The sequence below is a fragment of the Homo sapiens genome, chromosome 18 (genome assembly GCF_000001405.40).
Source record: "Homo sapiens chromosome 18, GRCh38.p14 Primary Assembly".
NCBI classification, from domain to species: Eukaryota; Metazoa; Chordata; class Mammalia; order Primates; family Hominidae; genus Homo; species Homo sapiens.
This window is the reverse complement of record NC_000018.10, coordinates 24,201,708-24,222,591: the sequence shown is the minus strand read 5'-3', so window position 1 is coordinate 24,222,591 and position 20,884 is coordinate 24,201,708. Positions and strand designations below refer to the sequence as shown.

At 39.4% G+C, this 20,884-nt stretch overlaps 1 protein-coding gene and 1 pseudogene across 5 annotated transcripts in view, besides 2 other annotated features; one reads left to right on the top strand and one right to left on the bottom strand.

Annotated features, from left to right (window-relative positions):
- OSBPL1A (oxysterol binding protein like 1A) overlaps nt 1–20,884 on the top strand; it is a 235,780-nt gene that overhangs the window by 175,233 nt on the left and 39,663 nt on the right. The gene's annotated exons all lie outside the window — the stretch shown is intronic.
- On the bottom strand, nt 4,188–4,292 carry RNU6-435P (RNA, U6 small nuclear 435, pseudogene; annotated as a pseudogene).
- Nucleotides 7,977–8,547: an enhancer, noted in NCBI's record as "OCT4-NANOG hESC enhancer chr18:21794009-21794579 (GRCh37/hg19 assembly coordinates)". NCBI's record gives its function as "activates a minimal SCP1, AML or CMV promoter by ChIP-STARR-seq in primed H9 embryonic stem cells {active_cell/tissue: H9 hESC(primed)}" and the evidence as "EXISTENCE:reporter gene assay evidence [ECO:0000049][PMID:30033119]".
- Nucleotides 11,244–11,418: a silencer, noted in NCBI's record as "fragment chr18:21791138-21791312 (GRCh37/hg19 assembly coordinates)". NCBI's record gives its function as "represses an EF-1alpha promoter that drives an FKBP-Casp9 reporter gene in an ReSE screen in K562 erythroleukemia cells {active_cell/tissue: K562}" and the evidence as "EXISTENCE:reporter gene assay evidence [ECO:0000049][PMID:32094911]".

Sequence of the window (20,884 nt, the reverse complement as noted above, 5' to 3'; positions counted from 1 at the left end):
TCAAGTTGCTTTGTGGAAAATTAGTGGACACCGTAGTGTAGTCAGGTTTATATTTACAGAGCTTATTGCCATCTTGGCCACATTCCGTGGGAGCAATTCTCAAAGCTTGGACCTAATTTATTATGTTTATTTTGAGCTCTAATCTTCTAACTTGTTAGCAATATTACCCAACTTATTATATTTGGTAAAGATACTGATATTTACTTCAACCTTGCCGCCAAATACAGGGTAGATGATACTAACAGAAAGCAAATTAGTCAGAATCTGAAACTGTTGGATCCATGTTATGATTCTGTAAATGTTATTCATTATATTAACATGAATAGATTAAAGGAGTAAACCATATGGTCAACCTAATAGATTTTAAACATTTCAACAAAATTAAACAGTTATTCAAAATGATCAATACATACATTAGCAAATCACAAATAGAAGAAAACTTCATCTGGTTAAAACTTAAACTACTTGATAATAACATATTAAAACAGTTCTTATCAGGAATAAGATGCCTGCTGTCATCTTTTTTATTCAGTATTATTTGGAGGCCACACCCAAACACACACACATAAAACTTAGAAATAAAAAATATGATGACATCGTCGCCGTAGAAAACTTGTAGAAGTTATTAGAGTAAGAAAGTTTGGCTAGGCTGCCATATACAAAATCAGCCAATTAAATTTCCGTGGACCATTAACAGACAGAAACTACAATTAAAACTGAGGGAGAAGATATTTACAGTAGCTTTAAAAAAGTCACATACCTAGGAATAAGTCTTGGGAAAAAAAGGGTGTAATAATGAAACTTTCTGAAAGAGATAAAACTTACTGAAAATGAAAATTCATTGTCCTGGTATATGTAATAGAGCTAGCATAGCAGATTAGTGAGGGAAAGAATAGATGGTTTGGTAAATTGTGCTTGGATAATCATTTAATATGGAAGAAAAAAAGAAAATGGGTCTCTTTCATAAATGTAAATACGAATTCTAGATGAATCAAACACTTAAATGTGGAAGTTCGAAACTTAAATACTTTGGAAGAAAATGTACAATATCTTTACAAGTTTAAGATAGGGAAGGATTTTTTATAACAGAAATATGATAGGGACTTTTTTTCTGTCTGATTCTAATTACTTGCACTTGATTAGCTTGAATAAAGCCTTCTGTAATAAATGTGGCTAAGAACCTGAGAGGTTTATTTTGCTGAAGTGGTAGATTAGGACCCCAGGTGATTGCTTAGTTTATTCACCCTTCTGATTGCTTTAGATTCTAGTTCTTAGCCGCAGGAAAGAGGAGTGTAACATAACAGTTGTCACTGCACATGAAGCATTTACACAAGGAATGCACCCACGAATTGAAGGTAAACAAAGAGGCTGAAAACGTAAGCTAAGAAAATACCTTCCAGGAAGTAAGATTATATTGAGAAAATGTTGTTAGTGGTAAATAAAAATTATTTAACATGAATACATTTAATCACTAGAATAAAACTACCTTGGTTTTAAAACCTCATTCCCTAGGCCAGGCACGGTGGCTCATGCTTGTAATACTAGTACTTTGGGAGGCTGAGGCGGGTGGATCACTTGAGGCCAGGAGTTCAAGACCAGCCTGGCCAATGTGGCGAAACCCCGTTTCTACTACAAACACAAAAATTAGCTGAGCGTGGTGGCACACGCCTGTAGTCCCAGCTGCTTAGGAGGCTGAGGTTGCAGTGAGCCAAGATCATGGCATTATACACCAGCCTGGGTGACAAAGCGAGACTCTGTCTCAAAAAAAAAAACCAAAACAAAACAAAATCTCACTTCCTAAAGATACGGGATAGATGATCTGGGCTCAGACGTCATTAGATCAGGGAATAGAGTTAGCAGCAAGTCACCCCACCCAGAGATCCTCTGGTGCCCTGGGTAGAAAAATACTCTGTCTATCAGGAAATATTTGGGGTAATTCCTCATCATGTAGTGACCAGGAGCACTTAAGCTACACCTTTGATTTTCAGAGAACCCAGGAGCAGTGAGCAGTAAGGAAAAGAGCAAGAGCCCTGCCCAGAATGAGCCAGATTTGTGGTGAGGGCTGGGGGCTGGAGGGAACAGTGGTTCCCCAAGACAATGGGAGCCTGTGCTCTCCTTTTATCTCCCGGCTCCCTGCCTAGAGTACTTGTCCTGGAAAGTAGAGGGTTGCAATAAAAAGAATGAGTAGCATCACTAGAAGCACAAGCAGCTCTGCTGTGAAGCCCACCTCTTTCACAAGCTGGACACAAGCCTATCTCAACTCTCCCAAGCGAGAAAAGAGAACTAGGGACCAAGGAGCAGGCAATGAGAAGCTTTCAGAGGAATAGTAAAGGAAGAAGATGCTTGGTATTCTAAAAGGCATGTAGGTCAGACGAGGGCACCACTGTGCTGTGGTGTAGGCGGACTGTTGGCAGTCCTGCCACGGCAGGTGTCTGTCATCAGAGGCCAGTGGAGATTGGACACCTGGAACAGATTGGCAAGTTGAATGGCAGCAGCTGAAGCAGAGGACTAAAAGCCAGCAGGCCACTCATTACGTGTGACATCCATCTCTCCCACAAAAGTGCATTTGGAGACATAATAAATGAGAGGGAGTGCCAGCCTGGCAGGAGGAGACTAGAGTGGTTATCCAGCGAATAGGGCTCCAATTTGAAAACCTCATCCAGGACTAACAAGCTGCTAGGCCATGGGGTCACTTCAAGTATACTAGGAAGAAGAAACAAGGCAGCCTGAGTCTAGATTCATGAGAATTACCTTCACAAACCCAAGTTGAGTTGCCCAGCTTATTGCCAGGAATTACTCTGGGAAAACTGTGAGGCATCTTTCCTCAGGCCATTGACCTCATCCTGCCCTAGTTTAAAGAGCAGATAGGAGTTGCTCTTTTGGAGACGGGCTGAGACTCTTTAGAACTGCTTCCAGTTCTAGCATTTTCTAAGCAAATGATGGTGAGACATACTTTCACCAGACTCCAAGCGCTTGTTCTCATCTAGTCTAGATGAGTGATTATTGTAGGTAAATCAGAGCAGTTTTCTAGGGCAGCCATAATCTGTAAGGCTATGCTTAAATCAACCAAATAGCAAAGAGCTAAGAAACTTATGTACGAAGAGAAATAAAAAATATTTTCAGATGAATAATCCCATTTCTAAAACTTTTTATTATGGAAATTTTCAAGCATGCCTACAAGTAGAATAATATAATGAACCCTTGATTCCCATCATTCACCCTCAACATTTACCATGTGCCCAACTTGGTTTCATCTATAAACCACCACATCAATGTTCTGATTTATTTTTATTTGTTGTGAGACAGGGTCTCACCCCATTGCCCAGGCTGGAGTGCAGTGGTGTGATTATAGCTTACTGCAGCCTCAACCTCCTTGGTCTCAGGTGATCCTCCCACCTCAGCCTCTTGAGTAGCTGTGACTACAGGAGTCACTAGCATGCCTAGCTAATTAATTTTTTTTTTCCAGATATGAGGCCTTGCTATGTTACCCAGGCTGGTCTTGAACCCCTAGCCTCAAGACATCCTCCCACCTTGACCTCCCAAAGTGCTGGGATTACAGGCATGAGCCACTGCGCTCGGCCTCCTATTTTTAAAGCAAATCCAAGCTATACCATTTTATCTTTATTTTTTTTAGGGACATAGCTTTTTAACTAACAAAAATTGTATATTTGTAGTGTACAACATGGTGTTTTGAAATATATATACCGCACATTGTGTAATGGATGAATCGAGCTAATATATGCATACCTCACATGCTTATTTTTTATGGTGAGAACACTTTAAACTATACTCTCTAGTGATTTTCAAGTATATAATACATTGTTAGTAACTATAGTCACCATGTTGGGCCAGGCGCAGTGGCTCACGCCTATAATCCCAGCACTTTGGGAGACCGAGGTGGGTGGATCACCTGAGGTCAGGAGTTCGAGACCAGCCTGGCCAACATAGTGAAACCCCCGTCTCTACCAAAAAATACAAAAATTAGCCAGGCGCAGTAGTGCATGCCTGTAATCCCAGCTACTCAGAAGGCTGAGGTGGGAGAATCGCTTGAACCTGGGAGGCAGAGGTTGCAGTGAGCCGAAAGCACCCCACTGCTCTCCAGCCTGGGTGACGGAGCGAGACTCCATCTCAAAAAAAACAAAACAAAAACCATGTTGTACAGTAGATTACTTGAACTGATTTCTACAAAAAATATGGGACACTTCATGAATTTGCATGTCATCCTTGTTCAGGGGTCATGCTAATCTTCGTATCATTTCAATGTTTAGTATATGTGTTGCCAAAGCAGGCACTCATTTCATCTTTTAAATAACTCAGTATGTATCTCTAAAACAGTGGGAGTCTTTTTTGCTTCTAAACCACAGTACTATTATCATGTATAATAATAATTTCTTAATTATCATCAAGTATTTAGTTAGTATTCACATTTTCTTGATTGTCTTGTAAATGTCATTTAGTAATTGGATCCAAAATGGTATTTAGTAATAGGATCCCAAAGTTCTACATACTGCCTTTGGTTTCTATGTCTCTTAAGTCATTTTACTCCAGGTTTCCTCTTCCCTCCCCCATTTTTTCTTGCCATTTATTTTTCAAGAAACCTGGTCGTTTGTTCTGTAGAGTATTCTACCATCTGGATATTGCTGGTTGTATTCCTGGGGTATCATTCCACATGTTCTTTTACTCCTGAATTTCCTGTGGACTGATGGTTATTTACAAAGGTGTGGCCAGATTTATGTTTCAGTTTTTTAGCACAAAATTCATAGGTACACAAACCATAGGTACTTCCTATGACATCAATCAGAGAGCATTTGCTCTCTGATTCTCTTCTTTCTGTAATGGTGAGATTGATTCTTGGGTTTAGTCATTGACAATCTGACACATCCATGATAAAGTTGCCTGACAGTCTTTCACCTAATGATTTAGTGGTTGATCATTGTCTTCATCTTTATTTCTTTAGGTGCTGCAAAACAGTAGTCTTTCAATTCTGTCACTCCTTCTACATTTATTAGCTGAAAATCTATAAAGAAGAGCTTCTGACAGGGTGCAGAGGTTCACACCTGTAATCCCAGCACTTTGGGAGGCAGAGGCAAGTGTATCACTTGAGGCCAGGAGTTCAAGACCAGTTGGCCAACATGGTGAAACTCTGTCTCTGCTAAAAATACAAAAATTAGCTGGGCGTGGTGGCGGGTGCCTGTAATCTCAACTACACGGGAGACTGAGGCAGGAGAATCGCTTAAACTCGGGAAGTGGAGGTTGCTATGAGCTGAGATCACACCACTGCACTCCAGCCTGAGTGACAGAGCAAGACTCTGTCTCAAAAAAAAAAAAAAAAAGAGCAAAACTTGTCTCAAAAAATAAAGAAGAGCTTCCTAACACCTCCTTATAAAATGATCTATATATTGGTTCCCTAGCATCCTACAAAGGTAATATATGAGCCCATGGGTTGGATTTGTTTAAATCTATTACAGTATCTTTCCCCCTCTTTGGTCAGAGTAAGCCCCTCTGGGTCAGCTTCTGTGTCCCTCTGACAGGACCCTCATTGGTTTCTCTGGTAATTTTTTTTATAGATATTTGTAGGCAATAACTCCATTGTCTTTGATAGCTGCCTTGCTTTCTGATAAGAAAAAAGTGTTTCAGGCTTACATCATTTGTTTCCTGCCCCAGACATAGAGTCAGCTATTTCTCTAAGGAGCCATATTTCATTTTAGTGGGAAATAATATTTAGAAATAACAATCTGAGTGGTAAGGATGTTCATTGCTACTGCATTGACCGTTGTTTGTAGTCTTATTCCTCGGAGACAGCTGAAACCTTTCCTCCCCTTTAAAAAAAAAAATAACCGATGAACCCTAAACAAAAACAGGTAAATAAAATTGTTTTTGTCCTTCTTTTTAATTTATATGAAAAGATGTTTGAGTTTTGGAAGTTTGTATTGTCCTTTGAAACTGGAATTTAAGAAAGAGGTAGCTGAAAAGAAAGTACTGATCTTAGAATAACATTGTTTTCTATTGGTAAATGTGAAATAAGAAAAATTGCCCATATATTTAAAATCTATGAACATGGTTTTCCTTTTTCTTTTTTCTTCTGGAGACACAGTCTCGCTCTGTCGCCAAGGCTGGAGTGCAGTGGCACTATCTCGGCTCACTGCAACCCCTGCCTCCCGGGTTCAAGCAATTCTCCTGCCTCAGCCTCCCAGGTAGCTGGGACTGCAGGCACACGCTGCCACGCCCAGCTAATTTTTTTGTATTTTAGTACAGACAGGGTTTCACTGTGTTGCCCAGGCTGGTCTCAAACTCCTGAGCTCGGGCAATCCACCCGCCTTGGCCTCCCAAAGTGCTGGGATTACAGGTGTGAGCCACTGCGCTTGGCCAGTTTTTCATTTTATTGAGAATACAAAGGCGTGTCTGGTCTCTACAAAGCTGGTTGTAAAGTTACATTGTCAAATGTAAACAAGAGGTGACGAGAGGCTGTAAGCTCTGTTATTTGTACCTGGGTCCCTTGATACTACTTTCCCCATTCAGAGGTCTCGTTATTTTCTCCTTTTGATCCCTGGACTTTTTCAATATCTTAGGTAAATATCCAATTTCTATTTCAAGTTTACTTTACAAACACTTATAATCCCCAGGATGTCAACAGAAAGAAGCAGTTAAATATTTATTAAAACGTATATTCTTGCTTGGCATCTCGATCTATTTATCCAAAGATGTACCCTCTTCCCCCAACCCTCCCATTCCCAACACACGTGAACACAAGATTTTGAGTGCCTAGGAAATATCTTTCACAGTAACAGCCTTTTAATGGTCTGCCTTAACCTGTTTCTTCTGCCCACATCTTCTAATAAATCATAGATTGGGTATCTTGACTTCTGGTGACTTAAGGGATTTGGTCTCTACAAATACACTGAAGTGTCTGTTTTCCTTTGGAGCTGTGCCAATCTAAATTTTGCCTAAAGGAGAAAATCGCCTCAGGGGACACGGAGTTCTTTGGCCTTATTTGCTTTGCTTGGTAGCTTAGGAGGAATTTTCCTTTTTCAGAAAACACCATATATAATAATAAAAAAATTGCAAGGTAAATAAATTAAGGAAGTGATTGTTTTAAAAACCACATAGATCCTTAACAGGTTGGTTGGTTGGTTGGTTTGCCTTGTGTTTTAGAATCCTCAGAAAAATTTGGTTTATACACAGCTCTTTTCAAAACACATTGATTGCATAAAATGTGATATGTTCTCATTGTCTGGGCTATGACCTGCTGTTGTATCATGTTGATACAGCACAGTGTTCAGCCAGGATTTGAAATTTAGCATAAAGTATCCATTTTACCATAGTAAATTTCAGATCTGATTGTGTGTTTTAGGACATTGTGTAATCTTTCTCAGCAGAAAAAAAACCTGCTTTAGGAAAGGGGAAGGATGCAGTCCTTTGCAGGACAGGTATTTTACTATGCTCAGAGCAATCCAAAAGGAAACAGAAGGGAAAATAACATACGTGTCAGAGAACCCTGGAGATATTATGTGTTATGTATCACAGAGCAGGAAGGAACCAGAAACTCAACTCCCTTCCTAGAAATTCTATCCCTCTGATGGTAAGCAATCAAAAGCATCTCAGATCATTTATAAACAGAGTTAAATCAGGCTGTGGAAGTAGCTAAAGCAAAGCACAAACAAATTGTTATATTTATTCTGAAAAAGTAGGTGTGGTTTGAAGGGAAGTTAGTCTGGAAAGTTCAGAGCCATGAAAAGCAACACAGTCATATTTGCAGAAGGGCACTTCTGTTATTCAGTCCATCTCTGCTTCGTTTTTTGTCTTCTCTTGTTGTGAAGTATTTTTTGCACAGTTTTCCCCAAACCCTTGTTTTGGTGATCAGAAATCCTTGTCTGCAGTGTTCCAGATAACATACAGCCTATTAAAAACAGCCTTGCTCCAGAGTTACATTCAACGATCAACAATTTTTATCAAGAGTTCAAACCTACATTCTAGTAGAGAACTCCAGGTCTCACCAAACAGCCTACTGCTACCATCAGCCTCCTAATCCAACTGGAGGTGTTCAAGTTCTGAGACATGACCTTTCTCGATAGAGAGCCCAAGAGATTTCTATGATAGTCAAGAAGGGCTTCTTTCCCCTCCCCAACCAACAAAATTACCAGTAATAAGACAGCTTTGGATCCTTTTTGGAATGTGGAGAGATGTTAGTAGATGTGTGCTCACCACCTTGAAGCCTCTCTGCTCCTTAGAGAGCTCCACACTGCAGGAGACCTAGTTAATCCTTTAGGGATGACGGTAGTTAGCTCTGATCTGTGCAGCATTCACCATGCATTGCATTAATCTCTCTGTTGTTCAGACCGTTTCCTTTAGGTCCTAACGACCGTGATCTACTCTCACTTTTCACTTAATTTCAATGACTTTACATCCGTCTGTTCCAGCACCTGTTGTATGAAATCTAAGTTATTCTTAGAGATAAAGGTGAGCAAAGAATAGTGACCTTGTCCCTAGGTTAAGGTCTGCCTTCCTGTTTCATCTTTCCTTCCCCAGGACTGTGCTGAACTCTGTGAAGCAGGCCTATAGTAAGGGAATCCAGCTGCCTAAAATGACATCTTCTTAGTAAACTAAAAGCCTGATTCAGAGATATTTTTTCATCATTTCCTTTTTGCTTTCAAATGTGAAGATTCTGTAAGCATTCCTGTTAATCCAGTTATGGTGATAAACTGAGAAATAAAAAGAAAATGTACTGTGTTCTTGAAGCTTGACAACAAATTCTAAATTTTAGAAATCCATTGTGAAAATCAGTTTAAAATTGTGTACATACAATTTTAACTTATTAAAGTCAAAACAAGTAAAACCTCTTGTAAAACAAGACCACCCTAACCTTTTTATTGTGTAGAGCCAGATTTGTTAAGTGGCAATCATAGACTATAGATAAGTAATTTAAAACATCAAAAATGAAAAATAATTTTAAGTTATGGAAATATTAGCAAAATTAAATAGTAATATCAGATAATTACATCAGATTTTATTATTATTATTATCATTTTGAGACAGTCCTACTCTATCATCCAGCCTGGAGGGCAGTGGTGTAATCTTGGCTCACTGCAACCTCTGCCTCCTGGGTTCAAGCAGTAGAACTTCTGAGTAGCTGGGATTGCTGGGATTACAGGCCTGCGCCACCACACCTGGCTAATTTTTTATATTTTTAGTAGAGACAGGATTTCACTATGTTGCCCAGGCTGGTCTCGAACTCCTGAGCTCAAGTGATCCGCCTGCCTCGGCCTCCCAAAGTGCTAGGATTACAGGCGTGAGCCACTGTGCCTGGCCACATCAAATTATTAAACTTAAAATAGGAAACCAAGTCATTGGATTTTTTTTAAAGATTCATAACTAAAAAAGGTATATGACTAGCCTTAGAGCTCTTGTCTGAGACTTGTACTGACCTGCTTCTAAGACGCTACGCTAATTTTAGTTGGAGAGGTCTAACAGCAGGTTAAATACCCAGCTGTTGAGTCACCCTCGTCTCTGACTAAGTTGTAAGATATGGTGCTCATTTATACTAGGCTTCAGAATGGCATTCTGGATATACAGAGAGAACTTTGTGATGACTGTATTTGTCTGAATTCGAACCTGAAACTAGGTACAGGGTACATTATAATAACAGTCATGCAGGAAGAGTTTTAAGTGATTGGCTTCTTTAAGACCAGCCTAAATTCTGCTTCTGTTGAAATGGGGATGGGCAAATTTCAGGAATTTAATTGTATCGGTAAATTTTAGACACTTTGTGTTGATTTCTGTATATTAAACTTGCCAAGTATTTCATATATAACTTTGAAGATCTTGAATCTTCATGTACATTACAACTAAAGTTTTAATTAATAGTACACAACTGAGAAAAATAGTATTTTTATGACCGTGGAATACATCTTATCACCTTTGGAGGGCAAACATTTTCCCTTGTTTGAGGGCATCATTTTCATTGTGATAAAATCAAATTATATCAACTTAAGGTGAGATTCTGTGAGTTGTGTGACTAAAAACCAGTATTTACTCTCAGATTTAAATGTTAAGAGAATATGAAAAATCATATCGAACTTTTAGGCAGTCAGGTGAACTACTAAAGATGAGTATGTTGGTTGAAATTTTTGAATTCTGTCTTATTAAAATAAGGTTATATTTGTTTCAGACTATCTTATTTATTTCAAATATTTTTAAGCCCACTTAGTGGAAGTGCCAGAGTTTTAAAGTTTTTGAAGGCCGGGCGTGGTGTCTCACACCCGTAATCCCAGCTCTTTGGGAGGCTGAGGCGGGTGGATCACGAGGTCAGGAGATCGAGACCATCCTGGCCAACATTCTACTAAAATTAAAAAAAAAAAAATTAGCCAGGTGTGGTGGTGTGCGCCTTTAGTCCTAGCTACTCAGGAGGCTGAGGCAGGGGAATCGCTTGAACCTGGGAGGCAGAGGTTGCAGTGAGCCAAGATCACACCACTGTACTCCAGCCTGGCAAGAGAGCGAGACTATCTCTCAAAAAAAAAAAAAGTTTCTGAAGCAGATTCCAGAAATGAAATAACATTTTGAAACAGAATTATCTCAATTGTAAATATTCCTCGACATTTTATTTATCCAGCTTCCTAATATCCTCAAAACCTTAGAGTAGTTGAAATGTAGTTAATATTTGTTGAATGCATTGATTTTTTTTTTTTTGAGATGGAGTTTCGCTCTGTTGCCCAGGCTGGAGTGCAATGGTGCAATCTCCCGAGTAGCTGGGATTACAAGCACATGCCACCACACCCAGCTAATTTGTGTATTTTAGTAGAGACAAAGTTTCACCATATTGGCCAGGCTGGCCTCGAACTCCTGACCTCAAGTGATCTACCCACCTCGGCCTCCTGAAGTGCTAGGATTACAGGCATGAGACACTGCGCCTGGCCGAATTTTTTTTTTTTTTTAACTGCCTTGTTCCAAAGTTTCTTAAATCTGCACTGGGAAAAAGGAAAGTCCTTCTGCTGTCTATGCCAGTGGTTCTAGAAAGTAGAGATTTTGGACTCTTGTGGTGGGGAGTAGGGGTCCTCAAGGCCCTTTCAGGGGACAAAAAAGTTACAACAGTTTTCATTATATTACTAAAAATGTGCCTTTTTCCTATCATTCACTTAAATGTTTACAATAAAGTTTCTAGACTACTTGATGTAAGAAATCGCAGATTGAATGCATAAACAGTTATGAGAATCCAGTTATCCTTTCTTAATCCTGACATTTAAAAGATTGCAATAATGTAAAACAGTGCTACTCTTCTAACTGTTTTTGTTTTGGAAAATACAGTCTTTTTCTATAAAAATGTTATTTAGGGCTGGGTGCGGTGGCTTATGCCCGTAAATCCCAGCACTTTGGGAGGCCGAGGCAGGTGGATTGCCTGAGGTCAGGAGTTCGAGACCAGCCTGGCCAACCTGGTGAAACCCTGTCTCTACTAAAAATACAAAAAATTAGCTGGGCGTGGTGGTGGGCACCTGTAATCCTAACTATTCGGGAGGCTGAGGCAGGAGAATCACTTGAACCCGGGAGGCAGAGGTTGCAGGGAGCCAAGATCATGCCGTGGCATTCCAGCGTGGGTGACAGAGCGAGACTCCGTCTCAAAAACAAACAAACAAAAAAAAAAAGTTATTTGGGTTAACATATCACTTTTACTTTTATTAAATGAATTAATAAGTCAAGAAATTATTTTCAGCTTTTTAAAAATTTGATAAATAGCAATAGATAAAATCCACATTAAAAGAAAACTATACCAGATACGATGGCTCACACCTGTAATCTCAGCACTTTGGGAGGCCAAGGTGGGAGGATCACTTGAGTCCAGGAGTTTGAGACCATCCTGGGTAACATAGGGAGACCCCATTGCTAAAAAAAGAAAGAAAAAATAGGTGAGTATGGTGGCACTTGCCTGTGGTCCCAGCTACTTGGGAGGCTGAAGCAGGAGGATTGCCTGAGCCTGGGAGGTCAAGGCTGCAAGTGAGTCATGATCGTGCCACCGTATTCCAGCCTGGATGACAAAGTAAGACCCTATCTCAAGAAAAAAAAAAAAAGAAAAAGAAAAGGAGAGATAAATGAAAGGGAAAGAAAAACTAACTCTTTTGGGGTCTTCAATAAGGGTTTTTTTTGTTTTTTGTTTTGTTTTGTTTTTGAGATGGAGTCTCACTCCATCACCCAGGCTGGAGTGCAGTAGCACAATTTTAGCTCACTACTCACGATTTTGGCAACCTCCACCTCCCAGATTCAAGTGATTCTCCTGCCTCAGCCTCCCAAGTAGTTGGGATTACAGGCCCCCACCACCACGCCTGGCTAATTTTTGTATTTTTAGTAGAGACGGGGTTTCAACATGTTGGCCAGGCTGGTCTTGAACTCCTGACCTCATGATCCACCTGCCTCGGCCTCCCAAAGTGCTAGGATTACAGGCGTGAGCCACTGCACCTGGCCCTGGGGTCTTCAGTAATTTTTAAGAGTTTAATTGATCTTAAGACCAAAAGTTTGAGAAATGCTAATCTATAGCAACAAGTTACATTACATTATAGTTTCTTTTTGTTTGTTTCGTGGTTGCAGTATAATTTTTATATAGTGAAAGTAACAGATCTTACATATAAATTTGGTGAGTTTTGTCAGGTGCATGGACCCATGTAACTAACATCCCATTCAAGATGTGGAACATTTCCATCACTCCAGGATGTTCTCCCTGACTCCTTTCAGTCGATCCCCCACTCTCCGTAGACAGCCACTGCTCTGATTTCTGCCACTATGGATTAGTCTTATCTTGAACTGCATTATAAATGAATCACAGTGCGTGTGCTCCTTGAATGTGGCGTTAGTCACTCAACACCGTGTCTTGACTTCCATTCCTATTGTATATATCGTTGCTCTTTCCTTTTTATTGGTGAATGCTCTGTTAGTTTGAATATCCCACAGTTTGGCTTATCTGTACTCCTGTTGATGGAATTTGTTTTTTTTCCAGTTTGGAGTTATGAACAAAAAAGCTTTTATAAATGTTCTTCTAGATACCATTCTGCAGACATGTTTCATTCTCTTCACTATGTAGGAGTAGAACTTTTGGGTCATCGGGGAGATGTGTGTTTAGCTTTGTAAGATGTTACTGTACTGTTTCCTGAATATGTACCATTTTGCACTGCAGTCTGAAATACGTAAGAATTTTAGTTGCTCCACATCCTCACCAACATTTGATGTTTTGTAGGTATGACATGGTACCTTGTTCTGTGGTTTTAATTTATATTTTCTTATTGATTTTGAATGCTTTTGCATGTTTTCCTTAGCCATTGTTTTTGTGACGTGTCTGGGAGTTTTGCCCATTTTAAATTTGTTTGTATGTCTTTGTATTATTGATTTGTAGTAATTCTTTATGTATTCTGGATACTAATCCTCTATCAAATACACGTATCATGAGTATTTTCTCTTAGTTGGTAGCTTGCCCTTTCATTTCTTTAATAATGAACAGAAGTCTTTAATTTCTTCTTTGTTTGAACAGAGTCTTTAATTTTAATGAAGTCCACTTTGTAATTTTTCTATTATGTTAGTGCTCTCTTGGGGGTTCTAAGTAATTGTTGCCTACCCCAAACTTTCAGCCACTGCCCTGGTGCTCTCTGGTGTATCACCAGTGGTGTGTTCTTGAAGTTAACTTGGTCAGTGTCTTTTGAAGAGAATGACAGAAGAATGAAAGGTATTTAGAGCACATCAGAAATTCAGTGATGCAACATTTTAATTCCTCAGAGTAAACAATGGCCTTTTGTTGTTGATACTATGGAATAATTGTTTCTCATTGTAAATGTGCGCGGGACAGTTTACTCATTCTAGATCCCTAATTAATAGAAAATCATCTGGCATAAAGTTGATCTCAGCAATGTGTGCTAAGTACCTATATTACAGGTTCTATGCCATTCACTGCAGGTTCAACAGGGCTTGGAATCTAATGGTAATAAGAGTTTAATTAAGTAAGTAAATCTGCCACAGCAACTTTACATGTTCTTAAGAAATTGGTGGTAGGTGAGTAACAGTGTTTGTAGGAACTTTTAGCCTTTCAAATGGAGAGAATGTGTTGCATTCTCTGTGGTTCCTTATGCCCCAACCAGGACAAAGAAGGAGTAGAGAGATGAGTGTTAAATTTCTAACAATGGAATTTGGTACTTTTCAAATGACTTGTAAGTCAGAATGTATTTATCCAGTGGTGAGATTGCTAGGCTTTTCTGCTCATCATTTGTTTTCAACCATTGTTTAAAGAATAGACTTGTGAGCTGTATCCCAGATGAACTATGTAAAGATTTTTTTCAAGCAAGATTATGCATCATTTGTGAAAATGAAGTGAGACTTTTTAATTACTACAGTAATTTACTCTCTAACATAATTTTAAAATCTAATTACTTTTGTGAATTCAAGTTTATTTTATAGTTTAGCTCTAATGACTTCCTAATTTGGAAGACTATTTTGCTTTGAGTGTTTAGTAAACTTCAGCAGAGCAATAGAAATTAAAGATACAAGCTGTGTCATTAAATTATATTTAAATTGGGACTTGTAGGCAGGGCGCGGTGGTTCATGCCTGTAATCCCAGCACTTTGGGAGGCTGAGGTGAGTGGATAGCTTGAGGCCAGGAGTTTGAGACCAGCCTGGGTAACATGGCAAAACCTTGTCTCTGCTAAAAATACGAAACGTAGCCAGTGTTGTAACACACGCTTGTAGTGCCAGCTACTCCGGAGGCTGAGGCATGAGAATCGCTTGAACCCAGGAGGCAGAGGATGCAGTGAGCCAAGACTGTGCCACTGCATTCCAGCCTGGGTGACAGAGGAAGGATTTGGAGGAAACGATAAGAAGTCTGATAGTTGAGAAGAGAGGTGATAAGTATCTAATAGCTGTAAATAGTTATACACACACAAGTGCAAAACACACGTATAACAGTATACATGTATACATACAGATTGTCAATGTTGTAGTTACAGATGTGTTGAAATCTGTTTCTCTGTGGAATAGTTTTCTTAGATTTTTAGTTCATTCTTTAATCTGGAATCAGAGGTAAGAATTAAGTTGTTTCTCACTTTTCTAAATATACAGATCAATATTCTGCTACCTAAAATTATGATTCCTACATAATACTTAATAAAAAATACTTATTTGTTAAGTGCAAGTGAAAATGTGTGTTAAATAAGTTGGTTTTGAAAATATTCTTTTAAGTGACATAAGAGGCTGAGCGCAGTGGCTTACGCCTGTAATCCCAACACTTTGGGAGGCCAAGGCAGGCAGATCACCTGAGGTCAGGAGTTCGAGACCAGCCTGGCCAATATGGTGAAACCCCATCTCTACTAAAAATACAAAAATTAGCCAGGCATGATGGTGGGTGCCTGTAATCCCAGCTACTCGGGAGGCTGAGGCAGGAGAATCGCTTGAACCTGGGAGGCGGAGGTTGCCATGAGCCAAGATCGCACCGCTGCACTCCAGCCTGGGTGACAGAGCAAGACGGAAAATGATTGTTGTGTTCTTCATACCTCATTGCTTACTTATCCATATCATTTTTTCACCGTTTTTCTTTCTTTGGCTCCATCGTAACTTGAGACATTAGGTAAAATCATTTATTTTAAAACTTTGAGCACCTGTCATATGCAAAATATTCTGTACCCTGAAGGACACAGAGGAGAATAAGACATAGTCTCTAATCTCAGAGTCTCAGAGCGGAGGGGGATTACACTCTGAGTGGCAGATATGTAAAAAACAGCAGAGGGAATGAATGAAGGTAGGGAAAATAAAGAATTGTGAAATTTAAGCTGAGCACGGAACTAGCCAATTTCATTGTTCTAAATTAGAACCTTTGAGTTGCTTTCAAAATCCCATTGCTGACATCGTGGCTGACTTTGAGATCATTCCCCAAGGCTGGGTGCAGAAGAGAAGCCTGAATGGAGGAGCATGCTCGAAGTCTCCCAGAGATAGATTGGGAGAGGACGTAACCCTCGGATCTGGATGGGAATGAGTTTTAATACCATCTAATCATGTCAATGGAATGTTTAAGGCGCAGTAAAATTGTTTGGGATTTATTAGTATGTTCTTTCGTCATTTTAATTAAATGAAAAATGTTAATTGGACGGAATTGTCCCAGCACTTTCACTCTGGTCATATGACATTAAAACAAAGAATACCAATGAATTATTAAATGGCAGAAAAGAAAGGGACATTTCCAAGTCAGAGTCCCTCCTGAGTTGCTTCATTATGTCTTAACCACAGTCTCTGCTTAAAGATTCTTTGTTTAGCATTCTGCAGCCTCCTAACCAGAAGCTCTTAGAAGGGATAGTTCATTAATTTGAAAAATCTCTTCCATTTGTACCTGTATCTGGTCCCAGGTGACAGCCATTGGCTGGCATTCACCATCCAGGTATAAAGCCTTCCATCCAGGTGTGGTGGCTCACACCTGTAATCCCAGCACTTTGGGAGGCCAAGGTGCGAGGACAATCTGAGGTCAGGAGTTCGAGACCAGCCTGGCCAACATGGTGCAACCCCATCTCTACTAAAAGTACAAAAATTAGCCGGGCACGGTGGCACATGCCTGTAGTCCCAGCTACTTGGGAGGCTGAGGCAGGAGAATCACTTGAACCCCAGAGGCGGAGGTTGCAGTGAGCCGAGATCACACCACTACACTCCAGCCTGGGTGACAGATCGAGACTCTGTCTCAAAACAACAACAATAAAAAAGGCTTCCTAGGGGAAAAGAAGCACAAGTGGTGAAAACCATTTCATTTTCTGCTTTTCTCCAGGGCAATAGAAACAATTTCATTCCTCTTTCTCTGTGAAAACCTTAATGTAGTTATGAAAATTGTTTAATAAATAACCATTTTTAGATCATCTTTTGAAACTGTAATTAGTAAATTTTTCATCCAAAAAGTAATAGTAGTTTTAAATCTTTAACAACTCAGGCAGGAAGATGAAAATTTTCCCTGAAATTATTGATAATAACAATAATATCAATCTCTACTTCATGTTGAAGGTTTTCTACCTACCAGGCACTGGGCTGAATGTTTTATATCACTGACCAATTTCCATATTTAAAATAAAATTAAATTTGACCACATAATGCACACATATGGGGTGAATGTGTATTGTTGGGACAGAATTTTCATTAACAATACCTACCCTTGCCAGATGAGTTTGATTTCATTTTTTAAAATGCTGGTTATATTACCATTAAATTGAGTCTATAGATCAGAATGAATGGGGCCTAAAGTTTTAAAAACACTCTCTGTATGCATTGTTTCATGGGAACTCCACCACGGCCATATGAAACACTAGTATTGTCATTTTCTAAGAAAAACCGAGGTTTGGAATAGGTTAGTTACATGTTCAAGTTCACACAGTCAGTAAGTGGCAGAGTTCTGAAAGCCAGGAGTGACGGCTGTGGAGTTAAAGAATCCATTCTACTAATTCAATATATGACCATGGACAAGTTATTTAATACCAGTGCTTAATAAGATTACTTTGAGGATTAAATGAGGTGATACACATTAAGTGATTAACACAGTCTAAACTGGAGCAAACTCTCACTAAATGCTAGCCATTAGTATTCATCCACTTCATCTTAGTAGAACTCTTTAAAGCTAGCCTGGGGATATTTTGATTTCACAGCATTTGTGAAAGTGTTGCTTTTTTAAAAACGCCTGAACTTTTTCTGTCTTCCCTGAAACATACAAATCAATGATCAAGGGTCTTTTGAACCGAGATAGAAGCTGGAATGAAGCTAAATAAAAATATAGACTATTAAGATTCCTGGAATTGCGAGTAAGAGAAGTGTTGGAGAGAGAGCTCCTCTGTCTTAGGAGAAAGGGAATAGGGCCACTGCACAGACCCTGTTTGTGAAAGGCATAGAGGGCACGAGAATCTTAGTCTCAAGTGGCCCCAGATGAGCAAACAAGGACATACCCCTTAAAGAGACCTAGCTATCTTTATGTAGAGTTATGGACTTGAGAGAGAAGAAATATATATATATCATTTAGAGAATGGGAACATCATGTTTAAAAAAAAAAAAAAAGAAACAGCTTTAGGGTGGGAGAAGCCTTCACCAAGATAGAAAACACAGAAGCTAGTTTTAAAAAGGAGACATACTTGTTTGTAAAAGTTTTTTGTTAACCTGCAGATGGTACCATGTACAATCTAGGTGACAAAAGATTAATAGCTATCACATACAAAAAAAATTCTTACTAAATAACAAAAAAATCCAGCGGTATAGATGTTATAAATAGGCAGTTGACCATCTGTGAATTCAGATGGTCATTAAGCATATGAAAAATGTTCTAACTCACTAGTAGTCAAGGAAAAACAAAGTAAAATAACAAGGTAGCATCATTACCGCAGTCAGACCCAAAACCTAAAAGGACAAGAACACCTGTTAACACCAACTCTTTCTGGTGGGAAGAGAGTGCTCATAGACTGCTGGTGAGATACGAAATTGTTAAAAGCTTCTCCAAAAGCAGTCTGGCCGCATCTGTGGATATGTGAAATAGAGATACTCCTTGACCCAGCAGTTTTAACCCCGGTGCTCTGCCCCATTAAAATGAAGGCATCAGATTTAAATAAGAATACATCATATATCGAAATATTTTTGTTGCATTGTTTCTTTTGGCAAAAGAATGAAATGGTAAATGCCTTTCATGGAGAATGACAAAATGTATTTTGAGATATAGTATTCTTATGGCATATTATACATTCCTTAAAATAATTAGTATACCATTTGACATCAACAAATTTGCGTGCAGTATTGACAAGCAGACCATAGAGAAGTGTGTATAATTAGTACCCTAATTTGGAATATGAAGGGCAGCACACCCCTTTGTGTGTGCACACATGCATGCTCTACATGTGGCTCTTTGGGAACATGTGGAAAAGCACAGAAAAATAGATGCCAGCTTCTTAACATGGATTATAGGGTGGTAGAGTGGTGGTGGAGATGGAGGAGTGGGGTGGCAAGCAAAAAGAACAAAGCGGGGAAAGACTACATTAAAAATAAAACCAGCGTGTGTGAGATGCTACCTACATACGTGTACATGTGCCTAAAGGTATTACAAAGAAAGATATACCTGTGTCTGTCGATGTGAAGGGGAGTGTCCTTGATATTTCGTGAAAAAGCAATGTGACCTATAGGGTAATATTTCAATTTAAAAAATGCACATACCTGTATACCCTTGTTTGTGTGAAGAGGGGGTGTGGAAAGGAGCACTTGTGCTGTTACTGTTGGTATTGGAGAGTGCAGGAGGAGAGGTCTAGCTTGTCCTTTATCTGTAGATCATTTCCTTTGTTATATAATAATATATTTTGGCCAAGCACGGTGGCTCATGCCTGTAATCCCGGCACTTTGGGAGGCCACGGAGGGTGGATCACCTGCGGTCAGGAGTTCGAGACCAGCCTGGCTAACATGGTGAAACCCCATCTCTACTAAAAATACAAAATGAGCCAGACATGGTGGCGCATGCCTGTAGTCCCAGCTACTCGGATGGCTGAAGCAGGAGAATCGCTTGAACCCAGGAGGTGGAGGTTGCAGTGAGCCAAGATTGCGCCGTTGCATTGCAGCCTGGGCAAAAAGAGCGAAACTCTGTCTCCAAAAAAAGTAATTATTTTTTAATTTGAAAAATAACCACATACTCCATCCCCCTCTAATTTAGTTGTATTTACTACCATTTGGCATATGCCCGAGAAGATTGTTTTAATTATGTGTGTTGTTTTGGTTTTGACATAGAACTTGAATTCCTAAAAATTTAAGGTCAAGATTACCAAGCGTTGTGAATTAAGAAATTTACCTTTTGTTCTGGAGTACCTGTTAATAATGAATTGCTTTTTTCTTGTCCGTTGGAAAAATACCAAATGTTGTGAATTAAGAAATTTACCTTTTGTTCTGGAATACCTGTTAATAATGAATTGTTTTTATTTTGTTCATTGGGAAAATACTGAATGATAGCTGTTTATGTTTCACATGTAGATTATGATAATAACATATGTAGCCTTCCCAGGTAGGTAGATTTGGTTTAGCAAATCATACCGTAAACAGAATCACATGACCAATGTTAGACTTGGGATAAGTTATCTGTAATGCAGGTGGTGAATGAAATATCTGTAATACACAAAGAGCTCCTACGTAGTGAGAAGATAATTTAGTGGACAGATGATGTCACCACTGACAATGAGTGTTTTTATCTTAGTATGTTTGTACTTTATAAAAATAACAATTTAAAAAATTCTTAAAAACTGACATGTAGGTAAGAAGTTGAACCTTCATTTCTGAGAAGCCTTAATTGTCCTAGGCATTTTCCTTAGTGCAGATCTAGCTGCCAGCAGAAGGAGAATTGTACAGCTGTGTAGCTTCGACTTGCAAGATTTGCCCCAGGTTACGCAGCTGGGTGGTAGCAAGAGTTTGCACTGTAGCTCTGGTTTCCATTCCACGGTTCTTTTATAGCCTCCATGAAAGAGATGACACCTCCCCGACCTCCTGCCAAGTATAAGGATGTCTCAGTAAATATATGCATGCACACACACAAGACCCAGAAGAGCTCATGTGTGTCTCATGAAAATCAGGAGGCAAACCTGGAAAGCATGAAACGCCTGGCAGCCAATTCCAGATGAAGCTTAATTTTGCCTACCTTTGTGTTATCATCTTGTTCTTTTTTTCAGAGGGCCTCTATGAGCAAACAGTGTTGAGTGTCTAGCCTAGCAATCCACAGAGCAGATGCAGGAGGTGGGCTCAGTGTCCAGCGGGTAGATAAAGGAGATCTGTGCAGTTAGGTAAATTTGTGAGGCTCAGCTTCCAAATAACATACAATTTCTTTCTTTTTTTTTTTTAATGGACTCTTGGTCTGTTGCCCAGGTGGGAGTGCAGTGGCACAGCCTCAGCT